The 15,786-nt window shown below is 38.4% G+C and overlaps 1 long non-coding RNA gene across 1 annotated transcript in view; it reads right to left on the bottom strand.

Annotated features, from left to right (window-relative positions):
* Nucleotides 1-14,858, bottom strand: part of LOC105377975 (uncharacterized) — a 295,277-nt gene extending 280,419 nt beyond the window's left edge. The window contains exons 1-2 of the long non-coding RNA NR_134600.1: nt 14,773-14,858; nt 14,271-14,436 (exon numbers count right to left, since the gene is read on the bottom strand). This is a non-coding gene — a long non-coding RNA (uncharacterized LOC105377975). The remainder of the gene's footprint in view (nt 1-14,270; nt 14,437-14,772) is intronic.
* Nucleotides 14,859-15,786: the final 928 nt, after the last annotated feature.

The raw sequence follows: 15,786 nt of genomic DNA, 5'->3' as shown, positions 1-15,786 counted from the left end.
TGAAGGGTTTAAAACTTCTGGCTGGGCATGGTGGCTCACACCTGTAATCCCGGCACTTTGGGAGGCCAAGGTGGGCTGATCATGGGTCAGGGGTTCGAGACCAGCCTGACCAACATGGTGAAACCCCATCTCCATTAAAAATACAAAAATTAGCCGGGCGTGATGGTGTATGCCTGTAATCCCAGCTACTCAGGAGGCTGGGGCAGGAGAATCGCTTGAACCCAGGAGGCAGAGCTTGCAGTGAGCCGAGATCGCACATTGCACTCCAGCCTGGGTAACAGAGTGAGACTCTATCACAAAAAAAAAAAAAAGGGAAAGAAAAGAAAAGAAAATCTTCTTCCAGCTCTTCATGGTAAGGCTCTTATATTAACTTTCTAGAGTGGCACTGAGAGAAACCCTGAGAAGTTCAAGAACCTGGTGCCATGCTCCCACAAACAAAGGAAGCTTAGGCATCTATCTGAGGTAGAGTCTCTGGATTTGAAGATGACTTGATGGGAAAAGTAATGTCTTGCATCATACTCAGGCTTCCTGTGTATTTATAATTACCTAATGGTATAATTTTATTTTTCTGCCAATGGATATACCTGCATTCTCTTTGAGATGTTGTGGGTATGATAAAGGGGTTATATTTGGGAGAACCAATATCTTGGATTATTGAGATACAAGCAGTGTCTGACCAGGCCCAAATAAAGTGACAGCATAGAACAGATCCAGGAACACTTCACTATAGAAGTTGCACTATTAGAAGGTGGTGTCAAGGAATGGGGTAGATTCAGCTTGGGTAGTCATGGGAATAGGAATGCTTCTTCAATGGGAGAATAATGTAGTGGAGAAAAATATGATCAAAGCACCATGGACACTCTAGGAGAATAAAGTTCAGAACCAGAAAGCTGAGCTTTGCAATATGGAATGGATTTATGAGGTTAATCTCTAAAGGAAATTTCATGCAGAGGGTATGAGAAAATGGACTCATGGAGAATTACCTACACTTTTGCATCCTTGAATGCAGAACTGTGGAGAAAGATAGATTATTTCTGGAAAAGCTTATTTCTGGTGTTATTGGAAAAGATTATTTCTAGGGATATTACCAGAGAGAAATGATGGAATTAAGAAGAGAATCCAAGCCAGTGTTAATCAGGCACTGCCCATGTTAAGATCATGACACTAGGTGCCAAAGTTCTGAAATATGTATGTAGAGTAAATGCCATGAAAAAAAATGAATTGTATGTTTACTTTACAATGGAATTGTTACAGCAGTGGTCTATGCCAGAGAATAGTCCATTCATTCTAAAGAATGAAAAGGCTGTCAGATTATTTAGTCTTGGAGGGCCCTGTCTTTAAAGATGGTGCATGGTGAAAGTTAAGAAGATTTCATTCCACTCCCACACCCCACAGGATGCTGGCTTTCAGGCAGATTTTCACGGGATTGTTCAAGGATCTGAGCATCCTGGGATTCCTCATAGTGGTGAAGGGGAGGCTCCATGGCAATTACCAATGTGGGGAAGAACTGCATGTGCAGGTGAATCTCAGAGGGTCCCTCAATAAAGTTTGACAACATGCAAAAATGTTAAAGATAGATCAGAAGTAGGCCTGTGACCCCTATGCCATTGCTGCCCTAGCCCCAAGTGGCATTCAGCTCCAAGCAGCTGTGACCAGCTCCTTCGATCTTAGGTGCCCCCACAACCTTAAGCTGTCATTCCCTAGGCTTGTGGGACTAAAAGTAAAGGTGTCACTGTGAATAAAAGAAGAGTTAGGAATGCCAAGAATAGCTGAGCTACAGGTCTTGAATTACTAGCATTTTCACTGGCAAAAAGTGAGATTTACAAATCCCAAGTATGCAAAGATACAAATTCCATTATACTGTATTTCATAGAATTTAAGACACCATCATTTGTAAGATGCAGTGTTATTTTGTGTACTATTAAGAAAGAGAAATCACTGCCAACTAAACTATGATACACCATGGATTTTTGAGCCGTATCTCAATTTCAGATATGTTAAGATGTGAAAAAACGTGCATCTTGGAATCAGTGAACTAAAGTATTTCTATAAGTATACTTAACTCTCAAACTCCTTTTTTACTGATGATAACAGACACATTCATCTTTCCAGTTCAAAGTAAACTCTGTCTTTTCTGGATTTTACTCAGTCTCATCTGGGTAAACAGAATTCTCCTAGAGATAGTTCAGAGAGAGGGGCTGTTTTCTTAATTTCACAAGGGAGAGTGCCATAGTTCTGCTCAGACCACAGGATCTCAGCTGACATGTAATGCAATCTGCTGTGGTCATCTGGAACCCTTTCAAGGTCTCTATTCTCCCAGTCCAGGTGTTCTGTGTCTGGCATGAGCAACACTGCAAGATGCCTGCAAGTCAGTCAGCTTTTTTGTCCATCACTAGGGAACCTCAGACACTCCCAGCTGCCTTTCCCACCCTACAGTGAGATATAGGACCCATCAGATTACACATCTCTGTCAACTAGGGCCATACTCCTGTCCTGACCCCATGCTACACCGAGGGTTTTTCAGAGAGACCTGTAATTTCTCCTGATTGCAACCTGGAGAGGAAGGTATAGATCCCTCTTCTTGGAGAACCCCAAACTTGTTTCACATTTCTATTGCCCCGCTAACACAAAGGGCTTCAACCCCAAAGACAAGCCAGGTGTATTTTCCTTTCCCAGGAACTCACAATAACCAATTTTATTCTTCTCTTCTCTCAACTTCACTCCCACCCTAGGTCAACTGATTTATCTTTATTCCCAAAGGCACAACAATCTGCCTAACTATTCAGACTAACCTCTTGTTTATGCCAGAATCATGGCTTTTGATGATGTACAAATGTCTCCCCAGAAATTCAAATGCTAACGATTTTATCCTTTTCTTGCTCTGAATAATCACTCACCCTGAAGCCAGCTCATACAGAAAGCTGAGGAGAAAGGAATAAGAAAGGTGAGTAGTAGAAACAAGAGAAAAAAGTCTTAAGTTAACATGCCAAAATACAATACAGTAATAGTAACCCTTTATCCACGGGAATGCTTCCTAAGACCCCCACAGTGGATGCCTAAAACCACAGATAGTACCAAACTCCATATATACTATGCTTTTTCCTATATCCATACATGCCTATGATACATTTTAATTTAAAATTAGGCATAGTAAGAGATTAATAACAATAACAAATAATAAACTAGAAAAATTATAACAATATATTATAATAAAAGTCACACAAATGTAGTCTCTCCTTCTCTCTCTCTCAATTATTGTACCATACCTATTTTCAGAGAGCAGTTGCCCATAGGTGGGTGAAATCACAGAAAGTGAAATCACAGATAAGGAGGTAGTACTGTACCACTAAAACAGTAATCCTATGAAATCTGGCCCACATTCTCCCTAAAACACCTGAAGGGGTTGTGCCTAACCATATCTTGGGTTAAATTTGCTAGGTGCATAATTTTTTGGAGTAAGTTGTAGGGTTGGCAAAGCACTTCAAAGATGTCCTCCAATCCCAAAGATCTGAGCTGTTAGCTATAACAATGGAGATAAATTGTATTTTAGGAGTTATCCACTACTGTCAGTAGCAGGCAAGGAACCCATATGCGGCCACACTCCAATGCATTCATTGAGCATTGCTGTACTCCCTCCAAGAGAAGATAGGAAGAGCCAGGAATCAGCCAACAACTTATAGAATTGACTCCATAGATCCCCAAGAGCCAGAATTGATGTCAAAAACGGCCCAAATTCTTCACCCTTTCCTTTATTCATGCCTCTGCAATGTGACTTTTAAGTTTCTTTCATCAAGCAGTAAAATCTATTTCCCCACCTGAATCTAGTTTGGCCCTATGATTCGATGTGGCTCTTGGAATGGACCAAAGTGGCTGTGTGCCACTTCCAAGCCTGGACATCCAAAAGCCTTTCATGTTTCTACTTTCTCTCTCCTGAAACTCTGTCCAGCATCATGAGAATAATTCCAGACTCATCTGCTGGATAATAAGTCACCCCTATCAGCCAACAGCAACCAACCTCCAGACATCCTTTTTCACTCAGCCATTGCACTGAATGATGCACATGTGAGCAAGGCCAGCCAAGATCAAAACTGCCGAGCAGACCCATAGACTTGTGACCAATAATAAAATGCCAGGGCTTTTCATACTATTTTTTGGAGTGATTTATTATGCAGCAATATCTAAAGAATACAGAAAATTGATACCTGAAATGGGATGCTGCCTTAAAAACACATAAGACACCATTGGTTTGGGGACTGGGTAAGAAGCAGAGGCTGGAAAATAGTGGGCAGACTGTTAGCAAAAGTCAGAAAAATGGTGAGAAAATAATACTAGAGGATGAAAATGTGGTGGCCTGTATTATGGGGTAGTGAAGCAGGTGACAGAACAGTTGCCTGCCTTACTTGAAAGATGAAAAGTGTATGCAGTGAACTTTTGGATTTGACTAAAGAAATCTCCAGGAAAAATGTTAAAAGTGTTCTAGCTGTGTGTGATATTATACAGAGGTGGAAAAAAAAAGATAACATAAAGAAATCACTGACAAATTTGAAAGCAGAATTTGGAGAGAATATAATGAGCCATAATTTGGCGAGTTGGAAAATAGAACTTCTCATTACCAGTGTCCCCAGCCTGAGGACAAAGACTAAACCAAGAGTCAAAACCTAAAAAAGAATGAAGGCGGTTTACAGGTTTTCTCATTTAGGCAAAAGGACATCAGGAATCTTAAGACTGTGGTCCCACAGAAGTCATCCCAAAGTAGCAGTAACTCAAAAGAGGCATGCTTATCTTTTGTCAGAAGGAATGGATTTTGATTCAATTCATAGGAAGATTTTTTAGGAAGTACACATGTGGAAATACCACCAGCTTGGACTAAAAGGAACTGAAATTGTTCAAATTGCAAAAGGGTTTTAGCCTTCAACTTTCTATGGGAAAGAATCAGTTTCAAAAATCATATTAGCTGGCAAAGGTGAACTGTTTCTTCAGAAGCAGCCAAAGAGGTGATGGACAAGGAAGGATGACAGGGTAAAGAGTGAGAAAAACCAGTGGACTGCAACCCACCACTTCTAAGAAGCAGTAGAGACAAGTGGGCTGAGAAGATATTCCCAGGGAAAAAAACCCACGTCCAATTAAGGGGCATTCTCAGCTCCTAGTACAGGAGGACCTGCAAAAGTTTCCAGCTCGATTTCATAGCTGCTACAAACCAGTGACTCCCATGCTTCCTGTTTTTGATGGAAGTGTCATTTGCAGTTATCTGTCCCTATCTCACAACTGTATGTTGGCTGAGGGAAAGAGAGCTAACTTGCTTTTTAGTTCATACATCTCTGAATCAAAAGGAGCTATATCTAAGGAGCCATATCTGAACCTGATTAAGATCATTCATCTCTGGAATTCAAGTTTGATGTCATGACTGATGGAAGCTTCTGGGGATCCTGGAATTAGGGAACTAAAGGTGGGCTTAAATAGAATGTTCCCAGTTCTTTCCCTGTCGCCCTCATCTTTATCCATTCAATTCTCAATGTAGCTTTGAGCCCCTCCCAGCAAGAGGTAGACTTTATTTTCTCCATTGACTTAATTTGGCCAAGTGGCGGAAGTGATGGTATGCCAATCTTGAACCTCGATCTCAAGAGTTAATATACATGTGTATGTGTGTGACTGTGTATGTGTGTGTGTATACACACTAGTCTTACAGTAGCTACATACATATAGATGTATACACCTACCATAAGAACTACATATGTATATGGCTACTATAAGAAAAAGCTTAAGTTAGCTAACTGGAAAGACATATGGCTGAGTTATCACCATCACTACAGACATTAGCCGGTTAGCCCCTAAACATGTCAGATGCCCCTGCTGACAAAAGATGCATGAGTGAGCCTAGCCAAGGTCAGCCAAGTTTGGAGCAGATCAGAAAGTCATCCATCTGACTTATAAACTCATGATCAATTGCAAAACTCCTATTTTTTAAATCATTAAGTTTTAGATGGCTTTTGCACAGCAATAGTTAACTGATACAGGATAATGCTCTATCAAGAGGATCATAGGAGTAATATCAAGATTTTTCTATCAATTCTGTGACCTACATTATACCTTTAGAAAAACAAAATTTATATCTACTAACCATAGTCAGTTTCTGTTGTTTGTATCCAAACTCCTAAACTACTAATTTATAAACTAATTTCTTCATCTTTGGAATATGCAGCATAATGTCATACTTTTTTCACTTCCTGCAGAACCAACAAATTTTAGTCCACTCGTACTTCATGAGCATCATCTAATAAAGGTGATCCCAAAGAGAATATAGAGCAACACTAATTGTAGGTGACTTATAATTCCCTTTCTCCCTCTAAAACTAGGGATTATGACAATCAGATTTTTATTCAGTAATTCTAGTAGGAATTTTATAATTGATTCCACAGAACAAAATGAGAAATTTAGTTTTTAAAAACTCTGAAATATTAATCTTGTTTTCTTCCAAAGCAATTTTTGTTCAGGGATGATAATCATGCACTTTCTTTGTACCCACAGAAATTTATATAACACTGAATATTTAACAAGTCAAGATCATCTAAAGGTTTTCTTAACCACAATTTACATTGACTTATTTCCTCTCAAAGTGGACCATACGTCACAGTCTACAGGCAAAATCTAAGGGCACACTAAAAATCTCAAAACTCTATTTTATTTGAATTTACTTACAATCATGCAGGAACTTTAATTTTTCCTCAACTTTTTCACAAATTTCACAAAACTTGTTAGGTGCCATTCCTAACAAGTTCCTAGTATTAATACATCTGAACTAGTGTTCTTGGTTACCATGTGGCTGGCAACCCACATTTCCTACTTTTGTTGCACCATATCACTGTCATGATAATACTTGGGTCATCAGTGCCACTGGTGATACACAAATAAGAGTGGCCATGCTGACGGTGCTGCTGGGGAGGCTGAAGATATCTCCACTGAGGTTGCTATTTCAGACTGGCCAGGCATCCTGTGTTCTGATGGTACCATTTCCCCAAGTCATACCCTTCTCTGCAGCTGCAGACACTGCTAGGACCAATGATGCTGAAGGTGTCTTATGTTTTAAAAGACTAATGGAGATTTTGCTGAGAAATCGATAGCGTTTTTAATGTTTGCTTTTGGCTTTTAGTAGTATTTGCTCACTCTTATTTAAGAGTTTTAATCTAGCACTCAATCTTGAGCTGGCTGAGCAACTGGAAAACCATACTCTAATCTTTTGCCTTTGACTTTGACCAAGGCAATATGCCTCAAATTTCACTTCCGCTATAATGGCCTTTTCCAAGAAGCACTTCTGTGCTTTGTACAGTATACATAATCCCCAGACAAGACCCTGACTCAGTTCTCCAGACATACACGGAGAAGTATTAATTCAAGAATAAAATACAGTTTAAGCTCAGGCGGGGACTGCCGATTTTTATGTAACAGAATAAGTAAGAAAAAAAGAAAAAAACTCTCACTTTATTTAGATACTTTTTATTTAGTTGAAGTAGATTTTCATATGCATAAATACAAGCAAATGTCCTGTAAAATCTACTACTCATAATAAAGCCCATCTATCATGAATTTATTGTGTGCCAAATACTTCGGAGCACTTCACATACACAACCCCATTTTTCACCTTTTCAGAAGAAGAGATTGAGGTTTAAAGGAATATTTAGTAACTTAACCAAAGTCAACAATTAATCCAGGCCTGCTTGATGCCAAAACTCTTATTCTTAATCTCTGTGATTTAGTGAAGTAATTAAGAATGAGATTATGAACATAAAGAATCTCCTGTATAAAGAATGAAATTATGAACCTGAAAACCACTGATCTTCGTTCATTCAATAAGCATTTATTAAATTCCTATTTATGCTTCAAGCTATGCTAGACACTTGGAAAATGATGAACAAAACAGCGTGTACCCTCTTGGAGCTTGCATTTTAATTTTCCTTCCCATCCTTCTTGACAGATAATCTAAGACCAATAAATGCAACTTCAGTAAAAGAGAAGAACATGAACTTGAAGTCAACCTATTCTCCAAGAGCAATGAGGCATGTGACCTTCAGAGAAACATATACTTCTTGAGATTTCCTGGAAGATACAGAATAACTCAGCATCACCATCCTTATGCTCTTTCTGGAGGAGTTTTATTTTATGGCAGGTGCCTCATAGAAAGGCATTTATGTTACAAGTTAGCATAATTCTGAAGAAACACAATCCTTTTTATAGTAAAAATATGGAACTTGGATTGATTAATAAAGAGAGCCATCTACAGAATAAGAAGCTCACAGTGCAACTCCAAAATGAATCCATTTTTATAATATCTTCTCTGCCAGCTAATTTAGAATATACTATGTGCAAAAACAAAAATACTACCCTTAAAATAAAACAGGCCTCAAGGAATATCTGTTTTAGGGTTGATTAAATTCCCAAATACTGAAATTTCTTAAGCTTCTACTTGAAGGGACTAACAAAAAATGTCAATGTTGTTTCTCCTCTGCAGAAATACTAGATATTGCCTTAGATATCACTAACAGAAATATTAGAGATTGCCTTAGATATCACTAACAGAAATATTAGATATTGCCTATTAGATATCACTAACAATGCATATAGTATCTTAACGGGTACGTGACAAATGGGGCTTGGAGAAAAGAGGGAAGTATGTTTATGTGATCTATAAAATAAAGTGAAAAATTTTAACCACATTGATTCAGTAAGATTTTCAAAATGAATACCTAAAGGGAGATTTTCCTCGACTTTTCTTTTACTTCAATGAACGATTTATCTTATTAGAAATAGGAGAGTATTCTCCACTGGCCCCAAACACATAGAACCTGTATTTCACATTCTTCCAATGAGAAAAAGCTGCTCTGCTATAATATTATATCTAACATTTGAATGAAGGAAAGAGTAAAATATTAAATTTGCTTATATAGAGGAGCAAAATCCATCACACAACCATCTAATAAGGTTGGCTGAGTGACTTACTGTGAGTAAAACAATAGAGCAAGCAAGGATACAGAAAAGACTCCATAGATTGCTCTACATTTTTATAGTTTAATCATAAGTCCCTTTATCTGAAGAAATTACTTCCAATCATGTAAGGAAATGATGGCATAATTGGTTGTCTTCTTACCAGCCTAGAATATGAGTAGACACTTATCATTCATGGTATGATTTGAAAGGCTGAACAAATCTTATCATGAAATCCACCCTTTTTCTCCTCTGTGCCTGAAATTCCACTATTAGCAATTCAATCTTTTGGATCTTATAGGATTTTTATTTTAAATGTACTATGGTCTCTTGTGGCCAAGCTTCTTGTAGTTGTAATAGCCTTTGGTATTTCTGAATTTCCATTTGCTATAGAACTTCACATGCATGTTTAGGTTAGCATGCTTGAAATTATTAAGGCAGAGTACAAATATCATTTTAAAATTAGACATTTACTAAATTTTGGATGTAAAATGAAGTAAGTTGTAAGGTCATGATATCCATTCTTCCCCCTTCAAAGATATGAACTTATTCCATTTTTAATTACATACTCTTCAAAAAATAAATTACACATCATATTACCTAAACCAATGATTAACAACCATCACAGTCAGGCAATGTCTTACCTAAGTAAAAAAAAAAGTTTTCAACTACATCAATAGCTCCTTCAGTACAATGTAGAAATTGTTTTTGAGCCTTCACTAAGGACCAGCTACTGCACTAGGCCTGTTAGAGAATACAAGATCAGACTTGGCTCTTGCCCTCAAGAGGGTCCCACATAAATTCAGGTAGTTCCAAGGCAGCACAGACTATGACAAATGCAGCAGGAGAAATACAAACACAATGTTAGTGGAGACATGGATTACTTTAAAATTGGGAGAGTGACCTGTAGAAAGCAGTTTGGAGATTTCTTAAAGAACTGAAAATAGAACTACCTTACCACCAAGAAATCCACTATTGGGCATATACCTAAAGGAAAATAAAACATTTTACCAAAAAGACACATGCTCTTGTATATTTATCACAGCATTATTCATAATAGCAAAGACATGGAATCTATAGGGCGAAATTCACCCCCGATATTTCACGTCGGTTCTTTTCTAGTTTCCCTAAGTGTCGGCCAGTCTGAGAAATAAAGGGACAGAATACAAAAGAGAGAAATTTTAAAGCTGGGTGTCCAGGGGAGACATCACATGTTGGCAGTTTCTGTGATGCCCCCTAAGCCGTAAAACCAGCAAGTTTTTATTAGTGATTTTCAAAAGGGGAGGGAGTGTACGAATAGGGTGTGGGTCACAGAGATCACATGGTTCACAAAGTAATAAGATATCACAAGGTAAATGGAGGCAGGGCGAAATGACAGGACCACAGGACTGGGGTGAAATTAAAATTGCTAATGAAGTTTCAGGCATGCATTGTCATTGATAACATCTTATCAGGAGACAGGGCTTGAGAGCAGACAACTGGTCTGACCAAAATTTATTAGGCGAGAATTTCCTAGTCCTAATAAGCCTGGGAGCGCTACGGGAGACCAGGGCTTATTTCATCCCTCCGCTACAACCGTAAAAGACAGCTGTCCCCGAAGCGGCCATTTCAGAGGCCTCCCCACAGGGACGCATTCTCTTTCTCAGGGATGTTCCTCACTGCGAAAAAGAATTCAGCAATATTTCTCCCATTTGCTTTTGAAAGAAGAGAAATATGGCTCTGTTCCGCCCGGCTCACCGGCAGTCAGAGTTTAAGGTTATCTCCCTCGTTCCCTGAACATTGCTGTTATCCTGTTCTTTTTTCAAGGTGCCCAGATTTCATATTGTTCAAACACACATGCTCTACAAACAATTTGTGCAGTTAATGCAAACATCAGAGGGTCTTGAGGTGACATACATCCTCCTCAGCTTACAAAGATGATGGGATTAAGAGATTAAAGTAAAGACAGGCATAGGAAATCACAAGGGTATTGATTGGGGAAGTGATAAGTGTCCATGAAATCTTCACAATTTATGTTCAGAGATTACAGTAAAGACAGGCAAAAGAAATTATAAAACTATTAATTTGGGGAACTAATAAATGTCCATGAAATCCTCACAATTTATGTTCTTCTGCCATGGCTTCAGCTGGTCCCTCCGTTCAGGGTCTCTGACTTCCCGCAACAGAATGGTGCCCATCAATGATGGATTGGAAAGAAAATGTGGTATATATACACCAGGGACTACTACACAGGCATAAAAAAGAACAAAATTATGTCCTTTGTAGCAACATGGATGCAGCCGAAGGCCATCATTCTAAGTGAATTCAGGCAGAAACAGAAAACCAAATACCACATGTTCTCACTTGTAAGTGGGAGCTAAACATTGAGTACACATGGACACAAAAATGGGAATGATAGACACTGGAGACTCCAAAAAGGAGGATGGAGAGAGGCAGCAAGCGTTGAAAAACTATCTATCAGGTACTATATTCACTACTTGGGTGATGGCATCAATAGAAGTCTAAACTTCAGCATTATACAATATATCCCATATAACAAACCTGCACATGTACCCCTTGAATCTAAAATTTAAAAATAAATATATAAATAAATAATAAGAGAAAACTGAAGCAATGAAAATACTGGTAGAGAAGGTGAAATCCACTAACAATTCTACTCTGTGCCAAACTAAGACAAATGAATAAGGCAATACTGCCTTGATGAAAAATCACAGGCTATCGGGGAGCAGGTCTTGAAAGCACTACTGTGGGCCAATGTGGCACAGTGATGGTGTAAACAAGTTACAACGCCATGGAAGAAAAGAACACAGAGCATTTGTTTTTATAGAAGGGTTGGGGAGGTGCCTACCTTGAAATCTAAATAACAGATAACAAAAGGAGATGAAGGACATTCCAGGCTGCAAAGTTCAACCATCACATAGTCGAGGAACTGCTCTGAAAGTTGGGTATGAGTTTCACAGGAATAGATTGTCATGGGGACTTCAAAAACAAGGCAGTAAAAACAGCAGTTCCATATTTTCTGCAAAAGACCCCTTTATAAATAAGTAAACAGCTACTGGCTCAAATTTCAATTGTATTCTTCCTGGATTGTGTTTTTTTAATTATTTTTTCGCTGTTGTCACTGAGCCCTTCCATGTCTCCGAAATTCACACCTTCCATGCTTTCACAATAAGAGTCTGGCCAGTCATGGCCCCACAAATTCTATACACCATACCCTTGTTGGTTCATTTTATCAACTTATTGGTCTATTTCAAGTCTGTCTTTTACTTGAGAAAGAAGAGAAACTTCTCTGTTTACAAGGATCATATAGTTTTACCTTATACAAGTACGTAATTTGTCTATATTGTCTATTGTTAATGTATTCATACCATTGTACCAAGTAGCCAAGACTGGAAGCAGTCCCCATAGGCCACCCCCACAGTTTGGGAGGGTTGTCAGACAAAGTTATGGGATACTTAGTCACCACAAAACTCTGGCTTGAAACTTTTCTCCTTCCTCCCCCAAGTTCCTCAGGAATGTATAGTCACTGTCACTGCTGGGTTTACTTCTGTTATTTTTAAGTGTTTGTGATGTGAGTTTCCTTAGAAAAGCACCTGACAGTAATCTAGTTCATAAAAAAAAACAAAACTGTGGTTCAAGAAGTTGAAAAAGACCTTCCCTAGATTTATTGTCATCTCCTTCTGCATGGGGACGGGTTTCCCCAGGGAGGCACCAGGATATAGTTTCTTACCTCTGACCCACCAGATGGTAACACCTCCACTTGGTGGCCAAGGAAAGCAGGCAGCACCTAGGGTTAAAAAGTAAGTGGCTTCCACACCTAGCACCCTGAAAATTATGTAGTTGCCTGCTATTTACCCTTGCCTGAACCATAAAGTCATTTTAATGTACATAGTTCTAGATTATGGCTACTTTCCAAAAACATCACCTCTTGTTCATTTACTTATTCATTCAACAAATCTTGAGACTACAAAAGAGAAACAAATAACAGATATGAAAAACTGATATAACACCTTTTAGTGGGAGAGACACAATTGATCAATACATCAATACATGTATAAATACATAACATCATGGCATGTAATACTATGTTATGTCAGGTAATAGTAAATGCTATAATGAAAAAAAGGCAAAATAAACAGAGAGTAATGGGAAGTGCTAATTAAGATACAGTAGCCAGGGAAGACTTCTGTAATATGCTATGTGGGCAGAGACCTGATTAGAGTGAACCAGAGGGATATCCAGGAAAAGAGTAACACAGAGAGAAGTGCATGTGCAAAGGCCTTGAGGTGGAGCACATATCTGCCAAGAACAGCAGAAAGTCCATGGCATTGGAGTGTGGTGAGCAAGGGGAGGATGGAAGGAGACAAAGTCAGGGATTAACCAGGAGCCAGACCCTGAAGGGCCCATCAGCTATGGAAACAAAGTTGCATTTTATGCTGACCCCATAATCTGAAGGAAAGAGAGGAATCACGATGACTACAAAGTTTTCAGCCTGAGTCTTGGAATAAAAGAAGTGCCATTTAATGACATGAGAAAAACCAGGGGAAAAGCAAGTTGGCACTGAGAGGGAGACGTGAATTAAGAATCAGTGGGTACCTGTATCGCATTGTAGAGTGATGATTAGCATTTACACACTTTTGTCTTTAGGGATTTCCACCTAAATTTTCATGTCTCATCAACTTCCAATTATTAATATTTTGGCCAGGGGAGGCATGTAACCAGAATGGCAATCCAAAACTTATTGTAAGTTTTATGCAGAGCTGATTTCAGGGGCTATTTTGAGGTAGGTAAAATTTATGAAGTTTCCCAGTCTCCAGGTTTGCCTCTTCCCCAACCCATCCCAAATTTTTTTCTCCACATTATCCCAGATTTCCTCTGAACACATTCATTTCCCTTGTTACCTGTCTGTTTCTGCCTCCACTCATCACCACCCATATGACTAGGGAAAAGATCAGGTATCAGTCACTTACACCTAGGATGAATTCAACCCCATATTTAGTATCTCTCTGAAATATTTGCCCTTTAGAGTTTGTCCCTAATTATGTGATAGATATTCCTGTTCTCCATTTAATTCTCCTCTTAAGGGAGCATCAAACATGAAAAGAAGCACTGGTAGGTTTAGACACCTATAGATTTTGCCTACATTTGAGATATGTTATGAAGATAAGAATGACCCAACACAATGTATGCGAGGAATGCTTCCAAGCATCCTCTGCTTGTCCAAGAAAGACCCCATCTGAAAAATGGTTTTAAAATAAGGCAGTCTATGAGGGAAGAAATAAGTACTTACTTACCGCTATGATGATTACAGGATGTTGAATATTGTCTGAGGTGGAGGAATAAAGGTTGGTTGTCCAAACTGATCATTAGAACAAATGGCCATAAAGCAAGTTCCTGGAACAAACAGGTAAAGTCAGGGACTACCAGGAGCCAGTAACATGATTCCAGTGAGCCACAGATCTGGAAAGAGGACATGACATAGACGTCAGAAAGAATTTCTAAGAGAAACAGCCACCAACATCGCAGGTGTGATTAGCTTTTCAGAGCTGTGTGTTCCCATTTGTGAGCACAGTGGCATTCTCCAGGACCAAGGAAATACCCATTGCTAAGTCATATTTACCCCAAGCCAAATACTTCTAGAAGTCTAAGTACTTTGATTCATTACTTTATGGCTGATTATCTTTATCAAATTCTTCATAAATATTATTTTAAAATGAAAGAACTGTAGGCAGAATACTACTGATTTTTATCTCTATGTATTAGCTGATACTCCTTTCAGTATTAATATTCTATTACCTTTTGGAGGAATGTGAATGGGTCTTTCCTCATTTGCTTCATTTTCACGTATCCCTGAACTCTCATGAATGGATGTTTTTCTTTTTCTAGAAAGAATATATGCGTGCACAGATTAAAATGTTTTCTAACGGAAAATCAGTCCTACTAATGGCTTTTTACTTAATTATTGGAAGAAAAATAAGAATAAACAAAAAAATTCCCATTTAGGTATTTATATCTTCTAATATAGCAAGCAGAAAATAATTTTAAAGTTGCTAAGATTAACTTGTCACTCTTAACCCAAAGAAAGCCTATTCAGTTATGTCACTAACCCTGAATAGAAAATATATCCACACATCTTCATTACAGCAGCCAGTCTGGCTGCCAGGATTGACCTGAAGTATAAAATCTACACTAAAAAGGTAATACACTAAAAGACCAATGACAAATAACTACTAACAATGATCTGTGCCAAACCAACCCTCAAGCCCAGGTGACTTCACCAGAGGGTAATCTCATAACCTGAGAAGTTACTGAATTATTTGTACAGCTCCGGGACTAGACATGTCCTGAAACCCCTAGACACTGTACTGGAGAAGGGCATCATGGGAATGTGCTTCCTACTTGGTGAGAAGCATTCTGCTTCCTGCAGAGAAAATCATGGCTCCAAGGGTAGTGTTGGTGGTGTGATCTGAGGAGATAAGGAACAATGCACACCACCTAAATATCCTTTCACACTCCTTTTGGGCTCGATAATTATTCCCTAATAAAATTTTAAAAATTATAGTCATATATATACCTTCTATAAATATGTATATTCATACATATACACTATGTATAGTCTATGTATATATTTCATAAACATTCAGTAATGTGTAATATATATTCATAACCCTTACATAAGAGGATTTGTGAGTTTAAATTTTTCTCATAGTATAGAGATTATAGATATTTTATCATTTTATCTCTCCTTTAAACGTATGTGTTTCCTTTGATCAAGGACAAAATAAGATCTATGAACCCAATCATACCATA

This window comes from Homo sapiens, chromosome 6 (assembly GCF_000001405.40).
Source record: "Homo sapiens chromosome 6, GRCh38.p14 Primary Assembly".
Lineage (NCBI taxonomy): Eukaryota > Metazoa > Chordata > Mammalia > Primates > Hominidae > Homo > Homo sapiens.
The sequence above is the reverse complement of the archived record's forward strand: the minus strand, read 5'-3'. Positions and strand labels throughout refer to the sequence as shown.